The sequence below is a fragment of the Homo sapiens genome, chromosome 4 (assembly GCF_000001405.40).
Source record: "Homo sapiens chromosome 4, GRCh38.p14 Primary Assembly".
Lineage (NCBI taxonomy): Eukaryota > Metazoa > Chordata > Mammalia > Primates > Hominidae > Homo > Homo sapiens.
The window spans coordinates 38,922,103-38,949,375 of NC_000004.12; the positions used below are offsets into that span (position 1 = coordinate 38,922,103).

The following is a 27,273-nucleotide window of genomic DNA, read 5'->3' on the forward strand; positions in this document are numbered from 1 at the left end:
AGCTAATTTTTGTATTTGTAATAGAGACGGGGTTTCACCCTGTCGGCCAGGATGGTCTTGATGTCCTGACCTCGTGATCCGCCTGCCTCGGCCTCCCAAAGTGCTGGGATTACAGGCGTGAGCCACCGCGTCTGGCCGTATGCATGTATATTTATAAGTATTGAGCATCACTCTAAGTATTTTAAGTAGATTACTTCATTTAACCCTCAAAACAACCTTATAAGGAGGTGCAATTAGTTTCCATTTTATGGATAAAGAAGCTGAGGCATTAAAAGGTTAAATAAGTTACCGAAGGTCATAGTAAGTGAGGAGCTGACATTTGACTGCAGGGTTGATGTCAAACTGCGTTTTTAACCACTGTGATAGAAGAGCTACCACCACCATTTATGCAGCACATACTGTGTGCAGTTGTGCAAAGTATTTCACATTTTGTATCTCATTTACTCCACAAAGAATCTCCCTTTAAAAATGAGAAAACTGAGACCCAGAGAGCTTATCTAACTTGCACAAAGTTGCACAGTTAACATGCATCAAGCCAACATTCAACCCAGCGATACCTCCCACACCATGAATCACTTTTGTCCTGGGAAAACTGGGGACCGCTGTGTGTAAACGTTATTAACGAGAAGAAAAGATGACAGTCGTGCTGACCTATTTCTTTTTTCAGGTTCAGTCATTTTTAGCATCACTTGATGGAGAGAAGCTGGAACTCTTAAAAAATGACCTAATTTCCATTAAAGACATCTTTGCAGCCAAAGAATTAGAGAATGAAGAAAATCAAGAAGAACAAGGTAAAGGAAAATAACTTAAATAGCAAGACAAACTGTTGGCATAATCCTTACGAAACTGCTGTTAATGAACACAGCCCTTTGAATTACTTAATTCAAGTGCTCCTCCTCCATGCTTCCAAAAGACACTGTGCATCTGCTCTTGTTACAGGAGCTGGTCACATTGATTTATAAGACTCTCTTTCACTGGTCGGGAACTCCTATTGGTCCTCTGGTGTTCGGCACAATCCCTGGCACATCACAGGCATGCAGTAAATGTGAATGCATATAGTCAGATAAACAAAGACTGCAATGTGCTAAGCAGAGCCCTGATGACTAGAGTTTATGCTGCCACTTTTTTTTTTTTTTTTTTGAGATGGAGTCTCGCTCTGTTGCCAGGCTGGAGTGCAGTGGCGTGATATCGGCTCACTGCAACCTCCACCTCCCGGGTTCAAGTGATTCTCCTGCCTCAGTCTCCTGAGTAGCTGGGATACAGGCGCTTGCCACCACGCCCAGCTAATTTTTGTATTTTTAGTAGAGACGGGGTTTCACTATGTTGGCCAGGATGGTCTCGATCTCTTGACCTCATGATCTGCCTGCCTCGGCCTCCCAAAGTGCTGGGATTACAGGCATGAGCCGCCTTGCCTGGCCTATGCTGCCACTTATAATTTTTATCTGCATGTGAAAGTTATTTAGTGTGATTAATGTTGATGGTGGGCAAATCTTTCCCTGAATTTTTTTGTATATTTTTCTTATTCCTTTTAATTTATAGGTGTAAGAGTTCGGGTATATTTGCAGGTGTCCTACGCTCTACCTAAAAAGTTCAGTTCTGACAAAGTCTGTACCATTTTCTGACAGTGCACCAGGGCATGCTACATCAGGTTGGCAACCACACTTCCCAATAATCTTCCACCCAGATGATAACTTGACCTCAAGGAGATTAGAACTTATTTTATGAGAAGCAAGGCTTCCTTAAGAGGGGAAAACTTATTCTCTGGGTTGGGCATGGTTAATGATTCCTTTAGGTTGTCCATTTGGGAGCAGAAGAGAGTAAAACATTTGCTATGTACTTGAAGAGAGATTTCTTACTGATGTCATAACCACCGACCCACAGTTGTTTTGTGTAGGTTATGCTGAAAGGTCAGACAACCTCAGAGACAGGTCTGGCTTCTCCTAGGACCTTTGGAAGGGTCCCATTTGAAACATTTTCACCATTTTCTTGCTATATGGCGTTAAACAAGTTATATACCCTTTCTGAAATGCAGTATCTTCACTTGTAAAATGGAGACAATGATATATATATCAGGTTCAAGAGCTGTTGTAGGGGGTCATGTTAGATAATATATCTAAAAACATATATTACAGTGCCTGGCACACAGAACTGCTCGAAAATGTTAGCTGTGCTTATTACTTAAAGTGCGAACACAATGCCAGGAAAAAGTAAAGGTGCAATAAAGTATAACTTTCATGTATTATTATGCTCGTTGTTATTACCCGGCATGCAAAGTAATGAGAATGTGCATTCTTAAATCGCTGGCAGTGTTTTGTGCCTGATGTGTTACATTCTTTTAATCAAAGCTCTGACACAAGAGCTCAAATGCTTGAGCCTTGATGTTCAGGGCGAAATTATTCTAGGCATTCAGAAACTGTCATTTAGACACCCTTTCCCTCTTTAGCTCCACACACTGACCTTACATGCCTTCAGCTTAATGAGATTTATGCTCATTGCATCAAAATAAAAGAATCAATTATACTGAAGCATAGAAAGAGGCCGTATCAGAGACAGTTGGGAATCATGTTTTTGAGCATTAGTATGTTCCTCCCGGAGTCACAAAGGATGACAGCCTTGTCTTTGTTTTTCTAATGAAGAAACTAAAACACTAGCTGTCAAAGGTCATGTAGCTCGCCTTGTGGACCCAGGATGAACTAATAGATGCCCCTTTCCCAGACTAGCAATCACCAAAAAGAATCAAGCTATTTCTCTTCAAGAGTCATGGTGTCTGAGGTAGACCTTGGTCCTATTAAGGGTGTCATTTAGAAAGGACAAAAAGAGAATCCCAGATTCCCCCCAACATCAAGGAGATATTGTTGCCAATGCAACTAAAGAAATATTGCATCCCCAACTGGTGCTATTCCTTGGAGGGGAAACTTAATTTCAACTTAAATAGAAAATGTTGCTGTAAGTGATGTGTTCTAGTCTTAGTGTAGACCTTCAGTAAATTCAGTTTCTTTAAATACACATTCACATATACACATAGAAAAACCTGAAGTGCGAACAGCATGCTTTAGCAATGGTAGGTTTGCCTCGCCTTAATTTGACAAAACCCTGTTATCTCCCATAATATATCAATTTTCCCAAGAGGGCATCTCCAGATTTTCAAAACACTGTTAATGTTAATTAACTTAATTTAATAAATAAATGTCCTTCAGAAACTTAATGAAGAACTGGGAGAAAAGAATAGACGTTGTCATTAAATCAATCCAATTATCGAGTGTCACAACCCCAGAAAGGTTCAGGGATTATGCAAAAGCTGTCGTAAGGAATCTTTGCAGTGGGGGAAATCCAGGAGCAATCCAGCAGAAAATCTAGGAGCAAAATTCTGGAAGAAAACTGAGCATTTTCATCCATTTTTTTCCTTGTAAGCATTATGTTCCTAAAAGCCCCCTAACAACTAAATAATTTATTTGGTACTCTCAGAAAATGTAATAAACTATCATTTTTTAGATGAATTTAATATCAGTCTCCTCTGCATTTAATAATGTTAGCTAATGATTTGCATGTTTGTTTTTCCAGCAGAGTGTAATTTTATCACACTGCCATAGATCCCTTAATGTGATTTACCATGGCTGAGAAGAGATTTTAAAAGGCCATTTTCTATTTTTATTGCTTCGGTGAAGATCTTCTTGGCCATGTGTACAGACCAAGAGTTGTAGTAATAGGTATTGTTTGTTGCAATATTTATTATCATCTGTTTTTATCAACCTCCATTTTTCTCTATGATTTTTTTTTTCCAAAATAGTTTCTAAAACTTGCTTTGTATGTTTTACAGAATTAATACACCTTTAAAAGCTGGAGCTCTACAAAGTGCTTGTATCTTAATTTAGTGTTGATTCCTCCCAAATACTTTTAATCTCCCTATGTTTGTATCAGTGTAGCACATAATTTGTTTACATAAAACTTTGTGTTTACAAAACACTTTCACGTTTGTTGCAGTATTTGGTCCTTACAACAGCTGTAAAGAGGATATGAGTGGGTTTTATTGTCCTCAATTTTCAGAGGAGGCAGTGGAAGCTGAGGAAGCTCTGTGACTGGCCCCAGGCCACAGAACTACCAGATGCAGGAGCTGGGTAGAATCCATGCCTTCCAAGTCCCAGCCCAGAACTCTCTGTGCTCTGCAACACTGCCTCATACAGAGTGAGGGGCAGGCAGTTTGGGAAGAGACCTTGTCGATGCTGCCCAGGTGTGCCCAGCCCCTCTCACTGTCCCTCCCTGGGGAAGACTAGACCAAGACCTCTGCCCAGCAGAGAGAATCTCAGCTTCTGATGGAATCAATCTAGCTCTCTAGCTCTGTCTCTCTCTCTCTCCCCTTTTTTTTTTTTTTCCAGATAGAGTCTCATTCTGTTGGCCAGGCTGGAGTACAGTGGTGCAATCTCAGCTCACTTCAACCTCCGCCCTCCCGGGTTCAAGTGATTCTCCTGCCTCAGCCTCCCAAGTAGCTGGGATTACAGGCACATGCCACCACACCTGGCAAATTTTTGTACCTTTAGTAGAGATGGGGTTTCACCACGTTGGCCAGGCTGGTCTCCATCTCCTGACCTCAAGTGATCCAACCACGTTGGCCTCCTAAAGTGCTAGGATTACAGGCGTGAGCCACTGTGCCAGGCCCTCTCTATCTATCTCTGAGACTGTCTCTCTATCTCTGAGACTGTCTAGCCCTCCAGCTCTCCCTTTGTGTGATTAATGCATTCTCTTTCTTGAAGGCTCTGTTCAGGCATCACCTCCTCCAGGAACCCTGCTTCACACCCCTCTGAGAACTGGATTATATGCTGCAAAAGCCCCCTTAGAGCACTTACCTCTTTGGGTTAAAACGATTTGCTTGTTGTGGCTTCGTCATGAGCAAAGACAGCCGTCTCTGCCTCCTCCCTGCGCACACCTGCCTCACTCTGCTGCAGCCACGCTGACGTCCTTGCTGCTCCCATGGATGAACCAGGCATACTCCCTCCTGGACTCTACTCTTGCTACACTGCAGCTGGAAGGCTCTTCCCCCCTGACATCTTGTAGCTGGCTCATTGCTCTCCTCCTCTAGCACATTACTCAATTGTCACCTTCTTAGTTAGCTTCCCTCCTGTCTTAGTCCCTTCAGGCTGCTATATCAAAATACCATAGACTATGTGGCTTATAAACAACAGAAATCTATTTCTCACAGCTTTGGAGACCGTAAAGTCGAAGCTCAAAGTGCTGGCAGATTCTGTGTCTAATGAGGTCTCCTGATCTCTGGTTCACAGCTGGTGTCTTCTAGCTGTGTCCTTACATGGTGGAAGGGACCAGCTAGCTCCCTGGGGCCTCTTTTTTTAGGGCACTAATCCGGTTCATGGGGGGCTCCCCACTTCATGATCTAATCACACCCCCAAAGCCTCACCTCCTATTGTCATCACATTGGTATTAGGTTTCAAAATATTAATTTGGAGAGGACAGGGGCATTCAGACCACAGCACCTCCTGTTTAAAACTCCTAAACCCCAGCTAGCCCTGTTTATACTTCTCCATAAAACGTATCCCTTGACGTTGATGTTATTTACTTATCTGTTTTGTTTTATTTTGTTTTGTTTTTTGAGACAGAGTCTTGCTCTGTCACCCAGGCTAGAGTGCAGTGGCATGATCTCCGCTCACTGCAACCTCTGCCTCCCAGGTTCAAGTGATTCTCCTGCCTCAGCCTCCCAAGTAGCTGGGATTACAGGCGCCCGCCTCCGCGCCCGGTTAATTTTTGTATTTTTAGTAGAGACGGGGTTTCACCATCTTGGCCAGGCTGGTCTCAAACTCCTGACCTCATGATCCACCCATCTCGGCCTCCCAAAGTGCTGGGATTACAGGCGTGAGCCACCGTGCCTGGACTACTTATCTGTTTTGATTATTGATCTGTTTCCCTCATGAGAATAGATGAGTTATAGGTAATAATAAGCGGATCTAAGCTAAATGTTTTGAATAAATACCTACAAGCTATGCCAGGCTATCTTCGTGGGCTGCAGATCAACCATTTTGTCCATAAAACAGAAAATAGCATCTCCAGACAAGGGCTGGATGCAGTGTTTCTCACATGGCTTAGTCCCCTCTTCAAGGCTCTGCCTTCCCCCACTGGCATAAGCCACAGTATTTTCTTCTTAGAGAGTTCTGAGATCATGTAGTCAGGTGAGATAAATGATGCCTTTATTCTCCCCCAAACTGGTAATAAATCCATGTGGAATCCATTCTTTGGCACCTTTCAGAACTGTTAAAAATGGCATGGCCTTGCAGATACTTTAAAAGAGAAAAATAAGATTGTAATCTTTAACAATCTCTTTATTGCCCACAATGATCCTAATTTTTTTATTTTATGATATTTGATATTTTAATACGTATACTGTCTGTTATATATATTAATATATCATATTATATATTAGGCAATGTATTAATAAATCATTCTGTAAATATTCATTTTAGCACCTATGATATGTGAGGTATTGTGTTAGATACTCTAGGATTCAAGAGTGAGCAGAAGAAATACTGTCTCTGTCCCTCAGTAGCTTCCAGGGTGAAAGGAAGACAGATCATTAAGAAATATTGTAGGACCAGCCAGGTATCCTAGGGAACCTTGGGAAATTTCTCCAGAGAGATGGTTGAGACTAATTCGGTTTATTCAGCACTGTGGCTCTGTGGACATAAAAGGGCACCTGGGTACCATTAGGGTTGCAATGCTAAGCATAACAATATCGAAGTCATAAATATGATGTTGTCCCAGGTCTCTTAGGCCTGAGAAAGGTCATGCCTTTGTTCATCCCAGTCCTTCTTTCAGCAAATAGCTGCTGACCACCTACAGCTGTGAACAAGACAAGCGAGGTCCCTCCCTGACCTCTTGTTGCCTTTGGGTTGTCCTGGGGGTGTCCCTGCTGGAGCTGCCAAACAGCAAGACTTCAGCGGCCCTGCACCCGGATGCATCTGCTGCCTCACTGCCATGCTCACGAATGGAAGACATTCATCTTTGCCCAGCGGCTGGCGGGCAGGCTGCTACAACCTCCACTTAGTCTACCCCAGCTGCAGGCTGTAATGTTGGGGGAGCTGCCACATCCTGAAGGATGAAAAATAAATCACGCTTCTTCTGTCGTGTTCTATTTCTAGGCTTAGAAGAAAAGGGAGAAGAATTTGCTCGCATGCTTACAGAGCTTCTCTTTGAATTACATGTGGCGGCCACACCTGACAAACTCAATAAGGTCAGCACTGTCTGATTTATAGTTTCTGGTTAAAAAAAAACAGTGCAGGGGAGAGTCTCTGTTGTAAAGTTCCAGAGATGCACCTGAAATGGAAAACCCCCAAATCTTATGTGGCATAGTGCCGGGAGAGGAGTTTGAGGTCAGTAATTAAGATTTGAGGAGGGGCTGGGCACGTGGCTCACGCCTATAATCCCAGCACTTTGGGAGGCCAAGGCGGGTGGATCACCTGAGGTCAGGAGTTTGAGACCAGCCTGGCCAACATGGTGAAATTCCATCTCTACTAAAATACAAAAATTAGCCAAGTGCGGTGGCGCATGCCTGTAATCCCAGCTACTCGGGAGACTGAGGCAAGAGAATCGCTTGAACCCAGGAGGCCAAGGTTGCAGGGAGCTGAGATTGTGCCACAGCACTCCAGCCTAGGTGACAGAGTGAGACTCTCTCTCAAATTTTAAAAAAAGGAAAAAACGAAAAGATTTGAGGAGGCAACATAATGGAATGTGGTGGTGGAGAACATGCTAGACTGTGTCATGAGATCTGCATTTTAGTTGTAATTTTACTAGTAATTACCTTGTAACCTTGAATAAGTCACTTACCTTTTCATGGCAAAATAGAATGTTATGTCGGAGCAGTAGTTATCATCAGGTTAGGGCAGGGAAAAAGGGTGCAGAATCACCAAGAGGCTTTTTTCAAATTTCACCCCGCCCCCCTTCTAAAGAAACATGCCAGAATTAGGTAGAGAGAGGCACGTCAGCCAGGTAAACCCCACAGTTCCTCCCACCTGGAGCACAGGGGCTGCATCATGTCTAAGACCATTCCAGCTTTAACAATCTGGGTTCCTCTAATAATACCACAGTGTGTTTTGCAAGTTAGTACAAGGTCTTGCTGTGAAGTTTCTTTAGAGGCCATGATCATTAATTACTTAAAACTGCATGATGTTTTTCCATTCTCTCTCTCTCTCTTTCTTTCTTCTTTTTAGCAAGCAGTGGTTTACATAGGTACTCACTTATCCAGGTGGGTGAGGAAAAGGGCAGAATGAGGAGGTGAGATGAGTAATTTCTTTATCTCTGATGGGGGTCACTGATTCTGGCAGGTCAGTGACTTGAACACAGTGGGAAGTTGCCTCATTCATCTCCGTGCAGCATCTGCCACTGCTCAGAGGGGGCATGTGGTGGCTCTGAGATTCCACTGGCTTATTTGCTTAGGGTTAAATCTTTGTCTGTAATAGAGGACACACTGAGGACAGTTTTGCTGGGTTTTCTCTCCCCAGATCTTCTTGCTGTTAACTTACCATTCAACACTCTGATATTTTTAACTTTGGCGTGTAAGATTTAACGTGGGAAGTAAGTTTAGTGTAAGCCCCAAAACAACTTTTACTTAAGCAAACAGCTTAAACTATAATGATAAAATTGGAGTGAGTCTGCCCCTTCGTTCTAAATTCAGGGAATAACAGGCAGGGGAGGAGGTTTCTGATTGTTTAATTTAGCCATGATTTTGCAGGGCACAGAGTGCGTAAACTGCACTCATGTGAAATTAAACTAGACACAGAGCAGCACCAGACCTTTCCAGCAGCGCTTCTCTTCTCCCCCTTGAGGGTGGAAGACCTGTCATGAATCAAGAAACGCAGAGCCCTTCTTCACCTTCCCAGCATGATACATTGTTAGGTTCATGAAACATGAAGAGCTTCCTGAAATATATCAGATGAGGACATTTGCTGTAGCCGCGGCCCCATGGCTCAATTTCTAACACATATTTTTAAAAATACTATTATTCTTTTATAGATGGTCATGAAAAGTGAAAAATATACCATAGATTTTTCAATGTGACTGTCATTTTTATTCTTATCTGAATATCATTTTTAAATGCTTTTTGAAGAGTCCTCAGGCTTGCATTGTTCTTTCCATACCTTCTGTTCTGTCCCTCTTTTCTACTTTATATTTACCAGAAAGCAACAACAAGGTTATCTTTTTCGGGGGTTGAAAAATTGCCCCGTCATCCTCCAAACATACAGAGATCCATTCTTGAAGGCTTAGAGACACTTGATTCTAGTCTTGGGGTTGGAATGACTTAGTTTCCATATTTGCGCCATAAAAGGATTGTTTGGTTGGGGACCTCTGCAGGCCATGAAGAGGGCTCATGACTGGGTGGAAGAGGATCAAACCGTGGTGTCAGTAGATGTGGCAAAAGTGTCCGAAGAAGAAACAAAGAAGGAAGAAAAGGAAGAGAAATCTCAAGACCCTCAAGAAGACAAAAAGGAGGAAAAGAAAACTAAGACCATAGAGGTAAATTCATTCTAGATTGTCTGCCTACAAGGTAATAAGAGTGTGTTCATTTTATTAGCAGCTTAATTTTAATTGAGGAGAGGCCATTTCTTTTTCATTTGTTCCGTGTTATAGAAATATAAGTTTGAGACCAGCCTGGCCAACATGGTGAAACCCTGTCTCTAGTAAAAATACAAAATAATAATAATAATAATTAGCAGGGCGTGGTGGCGTGTGCCTGTACTCTCAGCTACTTGGGAGGCTGAGGTATGAGAATTGCTTAAACCTGGGCGGTGGAGGTTGCAGTGATTAGATCACTGTAAGGAAAAATATCCATTGAGCTCTGTTCATTCAGCCGGCCTTCCACACACCTTCTTTAGCACCTGCCTGTTTTGTACCCAGCATTGCTGTAAGCACTGGGGATGCAGCTGTGAACAGACCTGCCACATCCGTGGGGGCTTTACAGCCCTTCCTGGCAACATTACACTTAAAGTCTTAGATATGCTTGTAATCATCAGGTTAACTATTTCGGGTTATATTTGGGGTATTTTTGAAAGAATTATATCACTTCTAATGTCACAGCATTTTTTTAAAAAAGCATCTGCTCAGTAAAAAATTTCTTGCTTGTGTCTATTCATTTCAGGAAGTATACATGTCGTCCATTGAAAGTCTGGCGGAGGTAACAGCGCGCTGTATTGAGCAGCTTCATAAAGTAGCAGAATTAATTCTTCATGGACAAGAAGAGGAAAAACCAGCTCAGGACCAAGCAAAAGTTCTAATAAAGTAAGTAAATGTTACTTTAAATTCTTATTTTCCCAGTTTTATATATAGGTACCATTCAGATACACACATACACACCCACACCCTCTAAGCCACTAGAAGATTCAGGTTTCTTTTTGTTTGTTTTTGTTTTTTGTTTTGTTGAGACGGGATCTCACTCTGTCACCCAGACTGGAGTGCAATGGCATGATCATGACTCACTGCAGCCCCAAACTCCTGGGCTCACGTGACCCTCCTGCCTCAGTCTCCCCTGGAGTTGGGACCACAGGTGCGTGCCACCACATCCAGCTAATTTTTTAATTAATTGCAGAGACCAGGCCTGGCCACGTTGCCCAGGCTGGTCTCAAACTCCTGAGCTCAAGCAGTCCTCCTGCCTCAGCCTCCTAAAGTGCTACGATTACAGGCATGAGCCACCATACCTGGCCAAAGATTCAAATTTCAAGTCAACCAATTCCATTGTTCTACGGTCATCTTAAGAAATAAGGATTTTTTTTTTTTTTTGAGACAGAGTCTCGCTCTGTCACCAGGTTGGAGTACAGTGTCACGATCTCAACTCACTGCAACCTCCGCCTCCCAGGTTCAAGCGATTCTCCTGCCTCAGCCTCCCGAGTAGCTGGGATTACAGGTGCGCACCACCACATCCAGCTAATTTTTGTATTTTTAGTAGAGACGGGTTTTCACCATGTTGGCCAGGATGGTCTCCATCTCTTGACCTTGTGATCTGCCTGCCTCGGCCTCCCAAAGTGCTGGGATTACAGTCGTGAGCCACCACGCCTAGCCAGAAATAAGGATTTCTTTAGCAAGTGCATTATGTTAGCAAGAAGAAGACTTAACTAGCCATTCTAGGAATTATTTATGAAGAGATTTAAGGGAAAACACACTAAATCATTGCATGAGGCGTGAAAGTACTTATTTAATAGATCAAAGTCTTAGAAGTAAAACCTTTTGAGGGTAATTACATTTTCAACATATACATGAATAGAGAAAGGACACTTTAATGTAACTTCTAGCTAGATTCACAAAATAGGCAAATACACTCCACTGCTCCTGGGGACTTATACCAGGTCTCCACGTTCCAAACTCCAGTGATGACGGTCACTAATATTAACCAGTTCACTGTGGGTTGTATGTGTGCATGTATGTGTTGTCCTATATCATGTTCTTCAATAAATAATAGCTATTATCATTAGTTTATTAAGTAAAATTAAAATATATGTGTAACATATATGAATATGCAATCTAGTGAATATACATGAAAATAGTTGATATGGAGCATTCATGAAAATAGTTGGTATGGAGCTGAAAAATAAGCCTTTAACTTTTATGCACATGACTGTATACTGTGATGTGGAAAATTAACATAGGCCTAAGTACCCTCGTATTATTAGACAGACACAGGAGCCAAAATAGAGCCCCTGAAAATATCCAGGGATGGACACACACAGGTCTCAGCACACTCAATTTGCTAGCTAACTAGTCTTTGCTTATTACTGCTTTGACATTGTCGGTTGGGGAGTAAGTTTTTAGTGGAAAGATCTTCCAAAAAGTCAGCATTAGTGTCTTTGTACTGGCGGCATTTTTCCTCACTTGTAAAGATCCGTCATCTAGTCTAGATTTCCATATCTAAGGATATAAAAATCAAAGTTATTATAAGAACCACAGAATCCCCACCTTAATATTCCTAGAAAGAATAGGCACTTGCCTAAACATTTAGAAGGAAGAGGAAAGGACAAAGTCAGGGAAGTTGAAAATGCTGAGGACAATCTCTAGGTACTGGTTTATCTTTGCAGTACTAATTGGAAAGAAGAGGGCCAAAGTTCAGAAGCCCCTAGGTATGGATAGTGACCTTACTCTTTGCTCCTTTCTGATTCCTAGCCCTGATTGTCCTGACCTTACCAAGCTGCACCCAGTCCCTGATTTGCCTGTACAATAAGTGCCTCCCCACCCACCTGCCCAAGAACATAGACTGAATGGCTCTGGGATATCTCCTGGCTTTACTCTTGGCCCTTTCTGCAGACAATTTTTGGATGGATGGGTGGGTGGGTGGATGGATGGGTGGATATAGCTCATAAAACCTATATATATTAGATAAGGCCTCTTTTATCAAAGCAAAACTTACCTCTACTGACTTTACTAGATATTTTAACATATAAGATTCTTAACTTGGGGTTATCATTCCCATAGCATTTTAATCACTATTCATGAGTGCTGTATGCACTAACTGATAGAAAAATATCAGACATTACCTACATTACTAGGTAATCAGATTGTTTTCAGTTTTTGTCATCATCCATAGTGTTAGGATAAATGTTGTTTTTGTTAAATATTTGTGTGTATCTTGCATTGTTTTCTTGGGATAAAGTTCTAGAAGTGGAATGCCAGCATAAACTTGGAATTTTGATATCAGTATTAAAAACACATTCTACATATTCTACAGGATCTTTATTTTGAATCATATAATAAAAACATAATCAAACTATCCAGAGACACCTGAGTTTGAATCCCTCCTCTCCTGCAGGTCCTAAACAGGTTACCTAACTTTCTTACTTTTTTTTTTTTTGAGATGGAGTTTTGCTCTTGTTGCCCAGGCTGGAATGCAATGGCATGATCTCGGCTCACTGCAACCTCCACCTCCTGGCTTCAAGTGATTCTCCTGCCTCAGCCTCCCAAGTAGCTGAGATTACAGGCGCCTGCCACCACGCCCAGCTAATTTTTTGGTATTTTTGGTAGAGACAGGGTTTCACTATGTTGGTCAGGCTGGTCTTGAACTCCTGACCTCCGGTGATCCACCCACCTCGGCCTCCCACAGCTGAGATTACAGGCGTGAGCCACTGTTCCCCGGCCACCTAACTTTCTTAAATGTCCGATTTTCCATCTATATAAAATGGAAATAATAATATAACCCATAAGGTCACCCTGAGGATTAAATATGATTAGGCACACAAAAGTGCTTAACATAGTGCCTCAGTGAATGCTCATGATTATTTTGAAATGACCAAAAAGCTGGAAACCAGCCGTCTGGCCAGAGTGTATAAGCTCTACACATGTGGAGCTCAAGCCTGATATTTTCCTGCACATGATTTTGATTCTAAAAGAGGTCAAGTGAGTTGGATGATTATTCTTTAATTAAGCATGGAAAGAAAACCAGGATTAGATTAAACTGTGATTGCGAATCATGGAAGATGATTAAGGAAAACCGCCTGACTGCACATTTCTGTAGAGCATCTTCAAGCATGTGTGGCATTCTTTTAAATGTCATACTGAATTAGTATCAGAAATGGTCGTGACAGTTAAATTATTTTACCTTATTGAAAACATCCAAGCTTTTTTTTTTTTCTTCTTTCAGATTAACTACTGCAATGTGCAATGAAGTGGCCTCTTTATCAAAGAAGTTTACGAATTCTTTAACCACTGTTGGGGTAAGATTACAGTCTTGAATTTTTTTCACCTTTTTTAAGGGAAGTATGTCTGTGAGGAAATGTGGAGATGCAGCGCCTTCTTTAGTAGCTCCATAAAACTGAAGCTATGCCATGATGTAAGCTGAAGTCAGGCCAAGAGTAACTTCTCTAAGGACAGGCAGCTTAGGACTCTCCTGACTGGGTTCTAGCCTTGAATCTGCCATCTCAGTCTTACAAGATGTTGGGTGAGTGAGTTTTCAAACCTCTGTGGCCCTTATTTTCTTTGTTTTTGTTTGTTTGTTTGTTTGATTTTTGTTTTGTTTTTTTTGTTTTTTTTTTTTGAGACGGAGTTTTGCTCTGGTGCCCAGGCTGGGGTGCAGTGGCGCGATCTCGGCTCACTGCAAGCTCTGCCTCCCAGGCTCACGCCGTTCTCCTGCCTCAGCCTCCCAAGTAGCTGGGACTACAGGCGCCCGCCACCACACCCGGCTAATTTTTTTTATATTTTTAGTAGAGACAGGGTTTCACCGTGTTAGCCAGGATGGTTTCGATCTCCTGACCTCGTGATCCGCCCACCTCGGCCCTGCAAAGTGCTGGGATTACAGGCGTGAGCCACCGCGCCTGGCCTGTTTGTTTTTTTTAAAGTGTCAGATGAAGGTTCCTTTTATTACTTAATATCTGTGATGTATGTACTTCAGAATCTCTGGTAAAATTATTAATTTTGAATATTCACTGTTGCCCTCAGAGCCTACTTTATAAGCCATGCAAGATAAGAGTTTTCATTTTTTTTTTTTTTTTTTTTTTGAGACTGAGTCTCGCCCTGTCGCCCAGCCTGGAGTGCAGTGGCACAATATCGGCTCACCGCAGCCTCCACCTCCTGGGTTGAAGCGATTCTCCTGCCTCAGCCTCCAAAGTAGCTGGGATTACAGGCACACGCCACCACGCCCAGCTAACTTATGTATTTTTAGTAGAGACGGGGTTTCACCATGTTGGCCAGGCTGGTCTTAAACTCCTGACCTAGTGATCCACCGGCCTCGGCCTCCCAAACTGCTGGATTACAGGCATGAGCCACCGCGCCTGGCAGAGATAAGAGTTTTCTTTGCTTCATTGTGGCACTTGACTTTAACCAAAAGAAAAAAATGTTACTGATTGGCTCAAGTGTTTCTATTAACAGGGTAACAAGTCTGAAAGGCTCAGCATTTACTTGGAGGTATGGCCTCTGGTTATTTTCTTTGGAAATCAGTCATGTTATTTAGCTTCACCTTAGTAGGCGCAGAGAAAAGTGGAAAATATTCCCTTTCACCTTCCTGTTTTTTCTCTTTAAAACACTGGATGCAAAGTCTAATGATGTTCTCCATGAGAAACAGCAGGTTTACTTCTTATTCTAATTAGGTTGTTTTCTTGGTTTCAAGTATATTAGTTTCCTAGGGCTGCTCTAACAAAGTACCATAAACTGGGTTATTTTCTCGTGGTTCTGGAGGCTAGACATCTGAAAGCATGGTGGTATCAGGGCCTTGATCTCTCCAAAGCCTCTAGGATTCTTTCTTGCTTCTTCCAGCTTCTGGTAGCCCCAAGTGTTCCTTGCCTTGTGGCTGCAAAACTCCAGTCTCTCTCTGTGTCTTGACATGGCTGCTTTCTCCCTGTGTCTCCACATCACCTTCCCTCCATGCATGTCTGTGTCCAGATTTCCCTCTGCTTATAAGGACACCAGGCCTATTTGGTTAGCGCGTGACCAATATGACCTCATCCTAACTTATCACACCAGCAACAACCCTATCTCCAAATAAGGTCACAGTCTGAGGTGCTGGGGGTTAGGACTTCAATATGTCTTTTTGCAGGGTACACAATTCAAACCATACCAGGAAGCAATAGAAACACATTCTAAAAAATTTAGACAGAAAGGAGGCTTTATGAAAGGCACTGGGGGAAATGAACCGCTGTGGGGACCCAGCACCAGAGCTCAGGCACACTCTTTTTTTATTTTTTGAAACCGTGTCTTGCTCTGTCGCCCAGGCTGGAGTGCAGTGGCGCGATCTTGGCTCACTGCAGCCTCTGCCTCCCAAGTTCAAGTGATTCTCATGCCTCAGCCTCCTGAGTAGCTGGGATTACAGGTGCGGGCCACCACTCCCAGCTAATTTTTTTGTATTTTTAGTACAGACAGGGTTTCACCATGTTGGCCAGGCTGGTCTCAAACTCCTGACCTCAGGTGCTCCACCTGCCTCGGCCTCCCAAAATGCTGGGATTACAGGTGTGAGCCACGGCGCCCGACCTACACATACTTTCTCTAATGTGCTGCTATTAATGTGACTCAGTGACAGCAGTTCCTAACCCTGTGTCTTTCCATTCAAATTCCTGGTTCCTGGGTAAAAAGGTTTGAATAGCTCATCAGCATGGGTCACATGTCCACCTTGGCTTCACTCAGCAGCAATTGGGGACAGTGTCTCATTGTGCAAACCTGCAGACCTACCTGGCTTCTGGGGCATGCCCCCTCCTCCTCCTCAGGCCAAGAGCATTTCTAAAAAGATGAGAAATGACCATGGTACTGGCTGTCACCCAAAAAGACACCTGTCCCCCACACTTCTGTCAGTGACTCTGTGAATAAGGGGTGAGCTACGCACCGCCTATTCATTCTGCTGTCAAGAAATCTGACCTGCTTCTCCTATTTTGTAAAACAACACCTTTTATGTTTGTCTAATTTCAGGCCTTCAGCAATAGAGCTTCACTGTATACAAGCAGAATGACAAGGGAGGTGGAAGCTCATTGATATGATAGGCTGGACAAAATGCATTTGCACCCTCGTGTGGTCCAAGTTACCTGATATCCATGGACTTTGATATAAACACTAGGCTTGCAGAGAGGTGCGAGGTCTTAATCAAGATGGAATAGCCTTAGTGACACCGGTTCCTAAGGCTCTATTGCACCCTCTTGTTACCCTTTTCACAGTTTACTAGGTGAGGAAACTGAGGCCTAGAGGGGTGAATTGATTCACTCAAGCCTCTCAGTAGATCTCCTAATTCCCAGTTGGTTATCCACCAGATACATCAGATAGACACCAACTCTTTGGTTCTCTGTGTTTGTTTAGGCTTGAGAGTGTGAATGTCTGTGTGCATGTTTGTATTATATTTTGCATAATATGTGTTAAATCTTAATTTACCTACTAGTATTCATGGTATTGCTTTCCATTCCTTCTGCATATTGTATTCCAGCACAGTGCTTCTCAAACTTAAGGTGCACATGGATCAATTGGAGATGTTGTTAAAATGAAGATTCTTATTCAGTAGGTCTGGGATGAGGCTGAGATTCTGTATTTCTAGTAAGCAGTCAGGTGATGACAATGTTCCTAATCCATGGCCCATATTTTATGTAGCAAGGCTGTGGCAGATGGCTGTGCACTTGAACTTTCATATATATTTATATGTACACACATACACATACAAGTGTTTGCATGAACAAAATCGGGACCACACAGGTTATCATTATGGGGAAGAAAAACCTGAATCTAAAATAGAATTTAGAAAGGCCATCTCACCACAACAATACCTCTGATCTTGTGCTGTGATGAATCATTTACATCAAGTCAGTGTTTCTGTTCTCTAAAGCAGCCATTATTCATAACTTGAAGTTAATGAGTGTGTATTGCTCTCTAGACTCTATTTAAATTGCTTGCATACCTCATTGATTCTGAAAACCAATGTCATCTTATTGCCCTCATTTGATTATATTTTAGAGGTTTATTGATAATCAAATAAACATGAAAGCAAATACCATAATGGATTTTCTGGTTACTTACTAAAATGACTGGGTTTTTAAAGAGGTTTCTCCCAAGGCTCCATCATGATTTCCCCAGGAAGACATTACTTCACCCTCAGTAGAGTAACGTCAATGAAAGTGGGCTGCTCTGGGAAGATATATTTAATTTATGTATTTTTGTTTACTCTGAACTCTTCCAGGTACTATAAGAGAAGCTGACTTATTAAGATTGCATCCTCTCTCTCTCCAATCCCTTTAATGGTTTATGGTCTAAGAGTAGATTGAACTCTTAGACAGAGAAGACTATTGATTGATAGACCGATAGCATAAGCAAAGATAATGATACCAACTCTGCCTTTCACTTTCTTTCTTTTTTTTTTTTTTTTTTGTTAGACGGAGTCTTACTCTGTCACCCAGGTTGGAGTGCAATGGTGCCATCTCGGCTCACTGCAACCACTGCCTCCTAGGTTTAAGCAATTCTCCTGCCTTAGCCTCCTGAGTAGCTGGGATTACAGGCACCTACCACCATGCCCAGCTAATTTTTTTGTATTTTTAGTGGACACAGGGTTTCGCCATGTTGGCCGGGCTGGTCTCAAACTCCTGACCTCAGGTGATCCACTCACCTCGGCCTCTGAAAGTGCTGGGACTGCAGGCTTGAGCCACCACACCTGGCCTGCCTTTCATTTTTTGAGCCCCTGCTTTATACCAGGCACTGTACTCTCTGCTTTATGTATATTTGCATTTTTCAAATGTGGATCTGCAGACCTGTTTTCAAGTTATATTTAAGAATGTCTTAATTTTGCTGCTCTTCTAGAAGATGCCCTATAACCAAGTTTCTATGTTTGCATTTAAAAGAAGAAAGAAAGAAAAAAAAAGGGGTAGACCAGGGCTTAGACTAGGTTAGGTGAGTGAGGGACTTAACTCACCTGCAAAATGGAAGGAGGCCCAAAAAAGAAACAGAAAAAAACCTCAGGAATCTAGATAGATATTTTAATGAAATATATTTTAAAATAAAAGTGCCAAAATATTATGATCATCAAAATATCAAAATTTTAAGTAAAGACAGCATCCACTCTGCCTACACAACTCAACCTGCCTCACTTCACTCTTATCCCAGACCTGCTACAAAATTTACATAGTGAAAAAGGTCTCGGTTTCAATTTCTAGCTATGTGACCTTAAGCAAGTTACTCAACCTTTCTGATCCCTATTCTCTCCTCTTTAAATTGGGGTTATCATGATACCTGCCTACCTCCTAGGATTTCCGTTGCAATTAAATGAGACTAAAAAGGTGCAGCAGCGGGTATGAAGCCTGGTCTGTAGGAAGCATTCTGCTTCCCCTCCTCTTCCTCTGCAAGAGATCCCTCAACAAAGCTAGTGTATTACATTTTACGTGGCAAGCCTTGTAGTATGAGCACCTAATCTGTCAATTTCATACTTCTGATTCCACAGAGCAACAAGAAGGCCGAGGTCCTTAACCCCATGATCAGTAGTGTATTGTTAGAGGTAAGTGGCCTCTGGAGAGAAAGTGCTTCTGAATCAAAGTAAATGTTAGAACTACTTTTTTTTTTTTTTGCCTTTCTTCCCCCACAGCAAATGTTATTGCAATTCTGAATCTCATCATCAGGTCTTTTTTGAGTAAATTTGTGTAGCTCAACCAGCTGTAAACCCTCTGATGAAGCAACAATACCTAATTTTCAAGAATTCCTGATTATAAAAAGAAATGCTAAGCTTGCACGTTATTTCTGTCACTGTTTCCTCCAGCAGAAGCAGATTTCTGCTGCCAAATTTGACACTAGATTTAACACTATGATTATTGGCTGCAATGAGGGATTATTGCTCATCGGTGATTTTCATAAAAATGGGCATTTCCTTCTATTTAGAATAACCTTTGGTTTAGCTGGGTCTAATGTCCAAGCTGGCAACAATGACAAGGAGAATGTTTAGCCTATGCCCAGTCAATGACAAGGGACACCATCCTCTGTGACTTCTCACTCTGTGGCCTGCCCACTCACTAGGACTTTGCAGCATCAGTTGTGTTGATATAAAGCTGCCCCAACCAACACTGCTGTGTCTTTGCCAGAAATGGTAGCCTAAGAGAGAAGAGGTCCAGGAAGATTTCTCATTCTTGAATCATAGGCACTGTGTTCCACCTGTAGAGGAAAGGTAGAAGATTGGTAGAGGAAAATCTTCTGTTAGGGGCTAAACTATAAGTAACAGCCGCGGGGCACCCAGCTGAAGGCACAAGGTGTTAACAAGCTAAGTTTGAACATGGGCAATGCATATATCATAGGATTTTGCTTTCTGAAGTGGCTGTCCATTGCAAAATTTGGAAATTACAAAAGTTCAAGAGGGCTACTGTATTAGTCCAATTTCACACTGCTGATAAAGACATACCTGAGACTGGGCAATTTACAAAAGAAAGAAATTTAATGGACTCACAATTCCACGTGGCTGGGGAGGCCTCACAGTCATGGTGGTAGGTGAAAGGCACATCTCACATGGCTGCAGACAAGACAAGAGAGCTTGTGCAGAGAAACTCCCTGTTATAAAACCATCAGATCTCATGAGACTTACTCACTATTACAAGAATAGCACGGGAAAGACCTGCCCCCATGATTCAATTACTTCCCATCAGGTCCCTCCCACAACATGTGGAAATTGTGGGACTTAAAATTCAAGATGAGATTTGGGTGGTGACACAGCCAAACCATATCAGCTACCTATATATTTATATCATTGTTTTGGGGACTTGTACCTTACTGTTAAGGAAAACGACAAAGGTACAGAAATAACTAAGTGATGGCACTGAATATTATTGTTTAGGATGCGGCCGCACAGTGGGATGGCATCAGCCAGAAGGAATAGGAGCTGTAGGGGCAGGTCTTGGAGGAACAGACATAGCTAAGAGAAAACCCTGGCAGTCAGAGGCAGAATGTGGTACAAGAAAAATCTCTCCCCTGGCCACCCAGAAGGCATAAAATTAACTTACCATGTCAGGTATGAGAAATATGAGGTCAAATGTTTTTTCCGTTTCCCCAATAGATGTTTTCACATGTTTTAGTTACCCTAACCTTTAAATGGCCTCTCCATCCAATACTGTGTGTTAGTGCACCACAAAACAGGAATAATAATTTCAGCTATCCCAACCAAACATAAAGTACCATGCATAGGAGGATAACAGTGTTCAAGTTTGCCATGAATAACTGCCCAATAGTATCTCCAGTTAGCTTTATGTTGACCATTCTTGCTTATCTATCTGTAGGGTGGGGCAAACTGAGCTCCTTCATACAGTGTTTTTGTGTTATTTCAGGGCAGTAGGGTTGATCTGGGAAAGAGATAGATAAGACAGGACATACCCTGGGCCAAGAAAGTACACACACTGATGGATCTTAAAAGTCCATAGAAGTGGCTCATGCCTGTAATCCCAGCACTTTGGGAGGCCGAGGTGGGCAGATACGAAGTCAGAAGATCAAGACCATCCTGGCCAACATGGTGAAACCCTGTCTCTACTAAAATACAAACAAATTAGCTGGGCGTGGTGGTGCACGCCCGTAGTCCCAGCTACTCGAGAGGCTGAAGCAGGGGAATTGCTTGAACCTGGGAGGCGGAAGTTGCAGTGAGCCAAGATCGTGCCTCTGCACTCCAGCCTGACGTCAGAGCAAGACTCTGTCTCAAAAAAAAAAAAAAAAAAAAATTCCATGAAAATGATTTGCCTCATTTTGAGTGAATTATTCTCTCTGTTAGTATAGATAATTGAGAGCTGGACATGCCCCATCCAAAAGCATGTGTTTACACTTGCTTTAAGCACCAATATTGCAAGATAAATATAATCCAATATGGGGGGTGGGTTGAAGAGTGGGAACATTATCCAATTGGAAGTATTGTCAAGGTTGAACTATGAAAATAACCCTTCAACCTCATTTTTCTCCTCTCACAGGGCTGCAACAGTACAACGTACATACAGGATGCCTTCCAGCTGCTGCTGCCTGTTCTGCAGGTCTCACATATCCAGACCAGTTGTTTGAAAGCACAGCCGTGACCTGGCCAGACTCCATCTAGTTAAAGGAGACAGCTGGCCGCCTTGCCTCAATATGTACCATTTAAGGGGATGTTCTCTGTGCGCCTGGCCACAGACATCCATTTGAGGACACTACAAGCAATTTTGCACAGACAATATTGAGAATGCAAATTTAGAGAGAGTTATCATTTCTCTCAATGTGTATAATTGTTTTTACAAACAATTGTGTTTTCTTTATGTTAATTTAAACTTACACAGCTTATATTGAAAATTTCCTTTCATCTGAAATTTATTTACAAATATTCGTGTTCATTTTCCTGGTTAAGCATGCTATATTTAGAAACTCATGGGGAGACCTTAGACTTTTGTTTAATCCTTTATGTTTCAACCTTTAAATGTTCCATTCTTATAGTATTACTTTAAATCAATTCTAAAACTGAACTTTGTTTTGTTACATAAATGTCGCAGGCAAAAATAACACTACTTATAGATTTTACCTATTATGGTAAAAAATAGGAACATATTGTCATTCTTTTTTTTTTTTTTTTTTTGAGACAGAGTCTCACTCTGTCGCCAGGCTGGAGTGCGTTGGCACAATCTCGGCTCACTGCAACCTCCGCCTCCTGGGTTCAATCGATTCTCCTGCCTCAGCCTCCTGAGTAGCTGGGACTACAGGTGTGTGCCACCACGCCCAGCCAATTTTTTTTGTATTTTTAGTAGAGACAGGGTTTCACCATGTTGGCCAGGATGGTCTCGATCTCCTGACCTCGTGATCTGCCCGCCTCAGCCTCCCAAAGTGCTGGGATTACAGGCTTGAGCCACCGCGCCCGGCCGGTCATTCATTCTTGCAACAAGCATTTATTGAGCACCTACTGTGTGCTCACAGTAAAGAAACGTGATCTTATCCCAGTAGAGGTAGATATTCTGAAAAAGAATAATTCTTAAACTGCTTAAAACAGGGGTCCCCACCCCCAGGCCACAGACCAGTACCAGTCCGTGGCACTGGTTAGGAACCAGGCCACACAGCAGGGGGTGAGCGGTGGGTGAGTGAGCACAGCTTCATCTGTATTTACAGCTGCTCCCCAGAGCTTGCATTACTGCCTGAGCTCTGCCTCCCGTCAGGTCAGCAGCAGCATTAGAGTCTCATGGGAGTGCGAACCCTGTTGTGAACTGCACATGCGAGGGATCTAGGTTGTGCACTCCTTATGAGAATCTAATGCCTGATGAATCTAATGCCTCATGATCTGAGGTTGAATAGCTTCGTGCCGAAACCATCCCCCACCCCCATCCCGCTACCCCGAGTCCGTGAAAAAATTGTCTTCCATGAAACCGGTCCCTGGTACCAGAAAGGTTGGGGACCACTGGCTTAAAATACCAATAAATTTTTGAACCTTAAAAACTTTGAAGAACAAGGTAAATTGGTGTTTTATTTAATGTCCTACCCTTTAATTTGTTGCATTTTCCTATACTCTTTACACTATTTTATCCCAAACTATGTATATGAGGTGAAAATATATATGAAAAGGGATACTGAAGAATATTTAGTTTAAAATTAATTTCTTACGATCACGAGCACATGGTGGCATAATTACAAAGCTTGGAAGTATTCAAATAGAAAATCAAAGGTGTTTCAATACAGTAGAATCCCAGGACTGCATTTTAAAATCGCCTCACAGATCACACTCGCTGGTGGCAAATATCATCATCGTTGCTAAAGGACAGAAAATACTGATGTGTGTTTTAACTAACTGGTATATTGATCCATGGGAGGCTGCACAGAAGACCCTGCGGCCAGGAGGGGCATTGTCAGTGGCTGCTTCTCCTGAGCTCCACGCCTTCATTGCAGCTGCATGTTCGATACAATACACCTGCTTCACAGCCCCATGGACATCCCTACAGGTACTGTCATGTGAAGCCTTGCCTAGTAGTTCTCTCCAGGGCAAATGAAGCTCACAGTTTTGCAAGGTGGAAACCTCTTATTCACATTTGCTTTGATTCCCCGATGGAGTAGACTGCCTTTGTTCCATACAGGCAAAGTAAGGATATTTTAATATCATCCTACTTCTTATTAGCATTTCATTTGTCTATGTACTGTATTTCATTTGTATGTCTCCTGAAACATCCAAATAGAGAACATAAGAACACTTTATGTACAATCTGGAAAAAAATTACCTGAGAAATCAATTAAAGATTTTTCCCCTTTTCTGATTGCCAGAAATGTTTTTATTAAGTCTAGAGAATGATTAACTGATGAAAATGTTGCATTTACCTCTTCATCAATTTTAGACTTTTTATGTGTAGGGCAGAGGAAATGATATAGATTTACAATTTCTTCACATCAGTTTTTTGTTGTTTTTTGTTGTTTTGTTTTTTGCATCAGATGGGTTTAGATATTAAGTGGAAATGTAAAAGAGAAACAAGTGGCAGGGCTCAGTGGCTCACACCTGTAATCCCAGCACTTTGGGAGGCTGAGGTGGGCGGATTACCTGAGGTCAGGAGTTCGAGAGCAGCCTGGCAGACATGGTAAAACCCTGTCTCCACTAAAAATACAAAAAAATTAGCCGGATGTGGTGGGTCGCGCCTGTAGTCCCAGCTACTCGGGAGGCTGAGGCAGGAGAATCGTTTGAGCCTGGCTGGCAGAGGTTGCAGTGAGCCAAGATACACCACTGCACTCCAGTCTGGGCGGCAGAGGGAGATCCCGTCTCAATTAAAAAAATAAAAAGAGAGAAAAAAAGAGAAACAAGTATTTCTCAAGGAGCTAGAATCCTAGACTTAGACTTTAAGCCTAACTGCACCTGTGTAGTGCGTGCATAGCAAAAACTTTAATGATAAAATGAAATATAAATGTTTAAAAGAATAAGAGATAATCATTCAAAAAGAAGTGGTTGGTGTCATTGGCATTGCACTTATCTTCTAATGCTGGAATGCCTAAGGTTGCCAGGTGAAGACAGGCTGAGAGATGATTCCCTGGGCCTAGTTCCATAGTCTGTGAATTACATTATTTAAGAGAGAATAATCACTTAAAATAGATCCACCTTCCAGGATTTCTTACAATACTGTTTTTCACCACCACTTTTAGGTAATTGTTTCTTTGCTTTGCTTTAAAATCTGGCAAAGCGCAGGATCCAGATCTGTGCAAATGTCAGTCAGTTACTAAATGAATGATTTAACAGGCTTACCTTGGAAGTTTTTTATTCCTTCAATAATGCTTTACATAAATTGCATTCATTTCATTCTATGCAATTACCCTGAACAAGCGTGCCAGTTTTTTCTCTTAACATCAAGTGCAAAATCAGTTCTAGTCTAAATAATGAATGTAGGCCTGTGCCTGTGCCTTATTAAATAAGAAGCATCAAAAGCGGATCTCAAAATCAAAGTAAAATGAGTTCAAGAAAAACTGCTTTCAGGTATTGATATAGACAGATCGAAAGGGCAAAATTGAGTCCCAAATCTTAAAGCATAGGCCTTAGCTTAAATATTATACCCAACCAAGAAGAGAAGGCTCTGTTTTCTCTGAGTGTCACCCTGGGCTGCACATCAAGCTCATAGCTAAATGAGCAGTGTGATGAGCTGAGGCCCTGGCAGGGGTGAGTGAGGATGTGCTACAGCCTCAGCAATACCAGCTAAGGAACTATGGACCTCAGATGAGGGCTCAAAGGGGTTGAAGGAAGTTCAGCCTTCGGCAGGCTGAAGTAAAGTGCTGAATACAAGGTAGGGGCCTGAATAGGGAAATAAGAGAGTTCCTTTGCGGTTTGTAGAAATTAGCTTCCCCAAGGTGCTCAGATACCTGGGAAGTCACCTTCTGCACAGGCGGGCCATGGTGTTTTCATGTTAGAAATAAAGGCAGACAGATTCCAATCATAGCCATCCCGGAGGTCCAGGATATAACATCTCAGGAAAGCAATTTAGCAACAATTTGAAATGAACATTTAATTTCTCATCTTTCCTAAAAACGTGTGTGTGTGTGTGTGTGTGTGTGTTGAACAGATGGGGTTGATCATAATACATGACTTCAAATGATTTAATTTTTTATAAAAGCAATTATTTTTCAGGGTTAAGCTAGTTTTTTCTATAATGTAAAAACTGCCCTTTGATCTTCCTCCTAAGTAAGCGTGCCCTACATTTTGATATGCAGATCCAGGCTTCAACTTGGTGTCTTAAATTACTGTGTTTGCAAAGGCTCATCAGAAGAGATCATACTGAAAATCCATTTTAGAACTTCAGTTTCGCTCTGGTTTTGTAGTTGATTAGAATTCATAACACCATAGGAGTCTATTCAGACCAGCCATTCTTCCCATAAAAGAAAAAAAGGATATAGTTAACCATGTGTTGTATTTTTCTAGATTATCTCATCACTTATGCAAGTTTATGTTCATTTTCTGTATGTCCATCTGTGCTGGATGGTGCACTAGAATATCTACTATTATCCAATTCTGAGGAAAGATATTCTATTTTTTTTCTTTCTTTCTTTCTTTCTTTCTTTCTTTTTCTTTCTTCTCTTTCTTTCTTCTTTCTTTCTTCTTTTTTTCATTTTTTTTTCTTTTGAGACACACTGTCACTCTGTCCCCCAGGCTGGAGTGCAGTAGTGCAATCTCGGCTTGCTGCAACCTCTGCCTCCCAGGTTCAAGCAATTCTGCCTCAGCCTCCCGAGTAGCTGGGATTACAGGTGCACACCACCACACCCGGCTAATTTTGTATTTGTTTAGTAGAGACGGGGTTTCACCATGTTGGCCGGGCTGCTCTCGATCTCCTGAGCTCATGTGATCTCCCCACTTCAGCCTCCCAAAATGCTGGGATTACAGGCGTGAGCCACCACACCTGGCCTATTTTTTTTTCTTAGACCCTGAAAATAATCTGAATTATTCTACCCTTTGAACATTTTACCTTTACCAATGATTAAATTATTATACCCCAAACAGTAGGAAATGTATTAATGGTATTTCTGCTATTTCTGGTGTCTGGGGTCATCATAGACTGGGAATAGAAGCTGATTAGGGAGGATCAGAATTTTGTGTTGAGATTTAAACTACATTTACCTTTGCATCAGAGTGAATTTTTCTCTGCCTGAGCTGTCAGCCAAAAAGCAATTGGATTATATCAGCCTGTGGTCACTGCTGACTCACTTGACAGGCTTGTCTCTTGTATTAGTCTCAAAGGAATTCTATATTGCAAAAGAAGAATATGTTTATTTCTTAAATGCCTTCACTGAGTGCAGAAGTTTAGGGTGATCCAGAGATGTTCTATTTCCCGGCCCTGGGTTTCACCGTCAGGCTTGGAAGCTGCCACTTGGAAGGAAAAGCAAGCACAGAAGCCAAGGCCAGATGGATGAAAGCTTGGCAAAAAACAAGGCTGAGCTTCTGCCTCTGAGTCTCTGCCATCTTTATCCTTTTTCTCTCTCAGGATTTTATTTTTTTTTTGGCAATCACCAAGTACCTGTCTCCAGGATCAGCTTTTAACATCCTGCCCCTCTTTTCCATATCTCTTATTTCCCTTCTCTTCCTCTACATTTTTTTGTCTTATTTCCCCATTAACCAGAAAACAATTCATACAAAAGATTCGGTCATAATCACCAACATGCATTTATTGTGTGCTGGGCACTGTGCTGAGTATTTTATTTGCATTATCCCGCTTCATCTCCGTAATCACCCTATTAGGTAGATATTATCATGTCCCTGCACAAATGAGAACATTGAGACCCAGAGACATTATCTACCTTGTCCAGAATTACACAACTAGTAAAAAAAAAAAAAAAAAAAGAGCCAGGATTCAAACTCAGGTCAGTTCAGCCTGACTAGCTAGCGAGCATTTTTAACTATTAGACAGAGCCTCCCAACAAAAC

The 27,273-nt window shown here is 42.0% G+C and overlaps 1 protein-coding gene across 11 annotated transcripts in view; it reads left to right on the forward strand.

Moving 5' to 3' along the window:
- The window catches only part of FAM114A1 (family with sequence similarity 114 member A1), a 77,934-nt gene extending 54,297 nt beyond the window's left edge, over positions 1–23,637 (forward strand). For 8 of the 11 annotated variants that reach the window (NR_033290.2, NM_138389.4, NM_001330764.2 and 5 more), the window contains 7 exons: positions 668–791; positions 7,140–7,231; positions 9,349–9,510; positions 10,133–10,272; positions 13,616–13,688; positions 18,866–18,919; positions 21,354–23,637. Coding sequence is in view for 10 of the 11 variants with exons in the window: in NM_138389.4 (NP_612398.2) it covers positions 668–791; positions 7,140–7,231; positions 9,349–9,510; positions 10,133–10,272; positions 13,616–13,688; positions 18,866–18,919; positions 21,354–21,455 (747 nt within the window). In the remaining variant the exon portion in view is untranslated. Of the gene's footprint in view, positions 1–667; positions 792–4,748; positions 6,233–7,139; positions 7,232–9,348; positions 9,511–10,132; positions 10,273–13,615; positions 13,689–16,365; positions 17,432–18,865; positions 18,920–21,353 lie in introns of those variants that run through there. The other 3 variants (NM_001375793.1, NM_001350631.2, NM_001350635.3) reach the window with 3 other exon arrangements.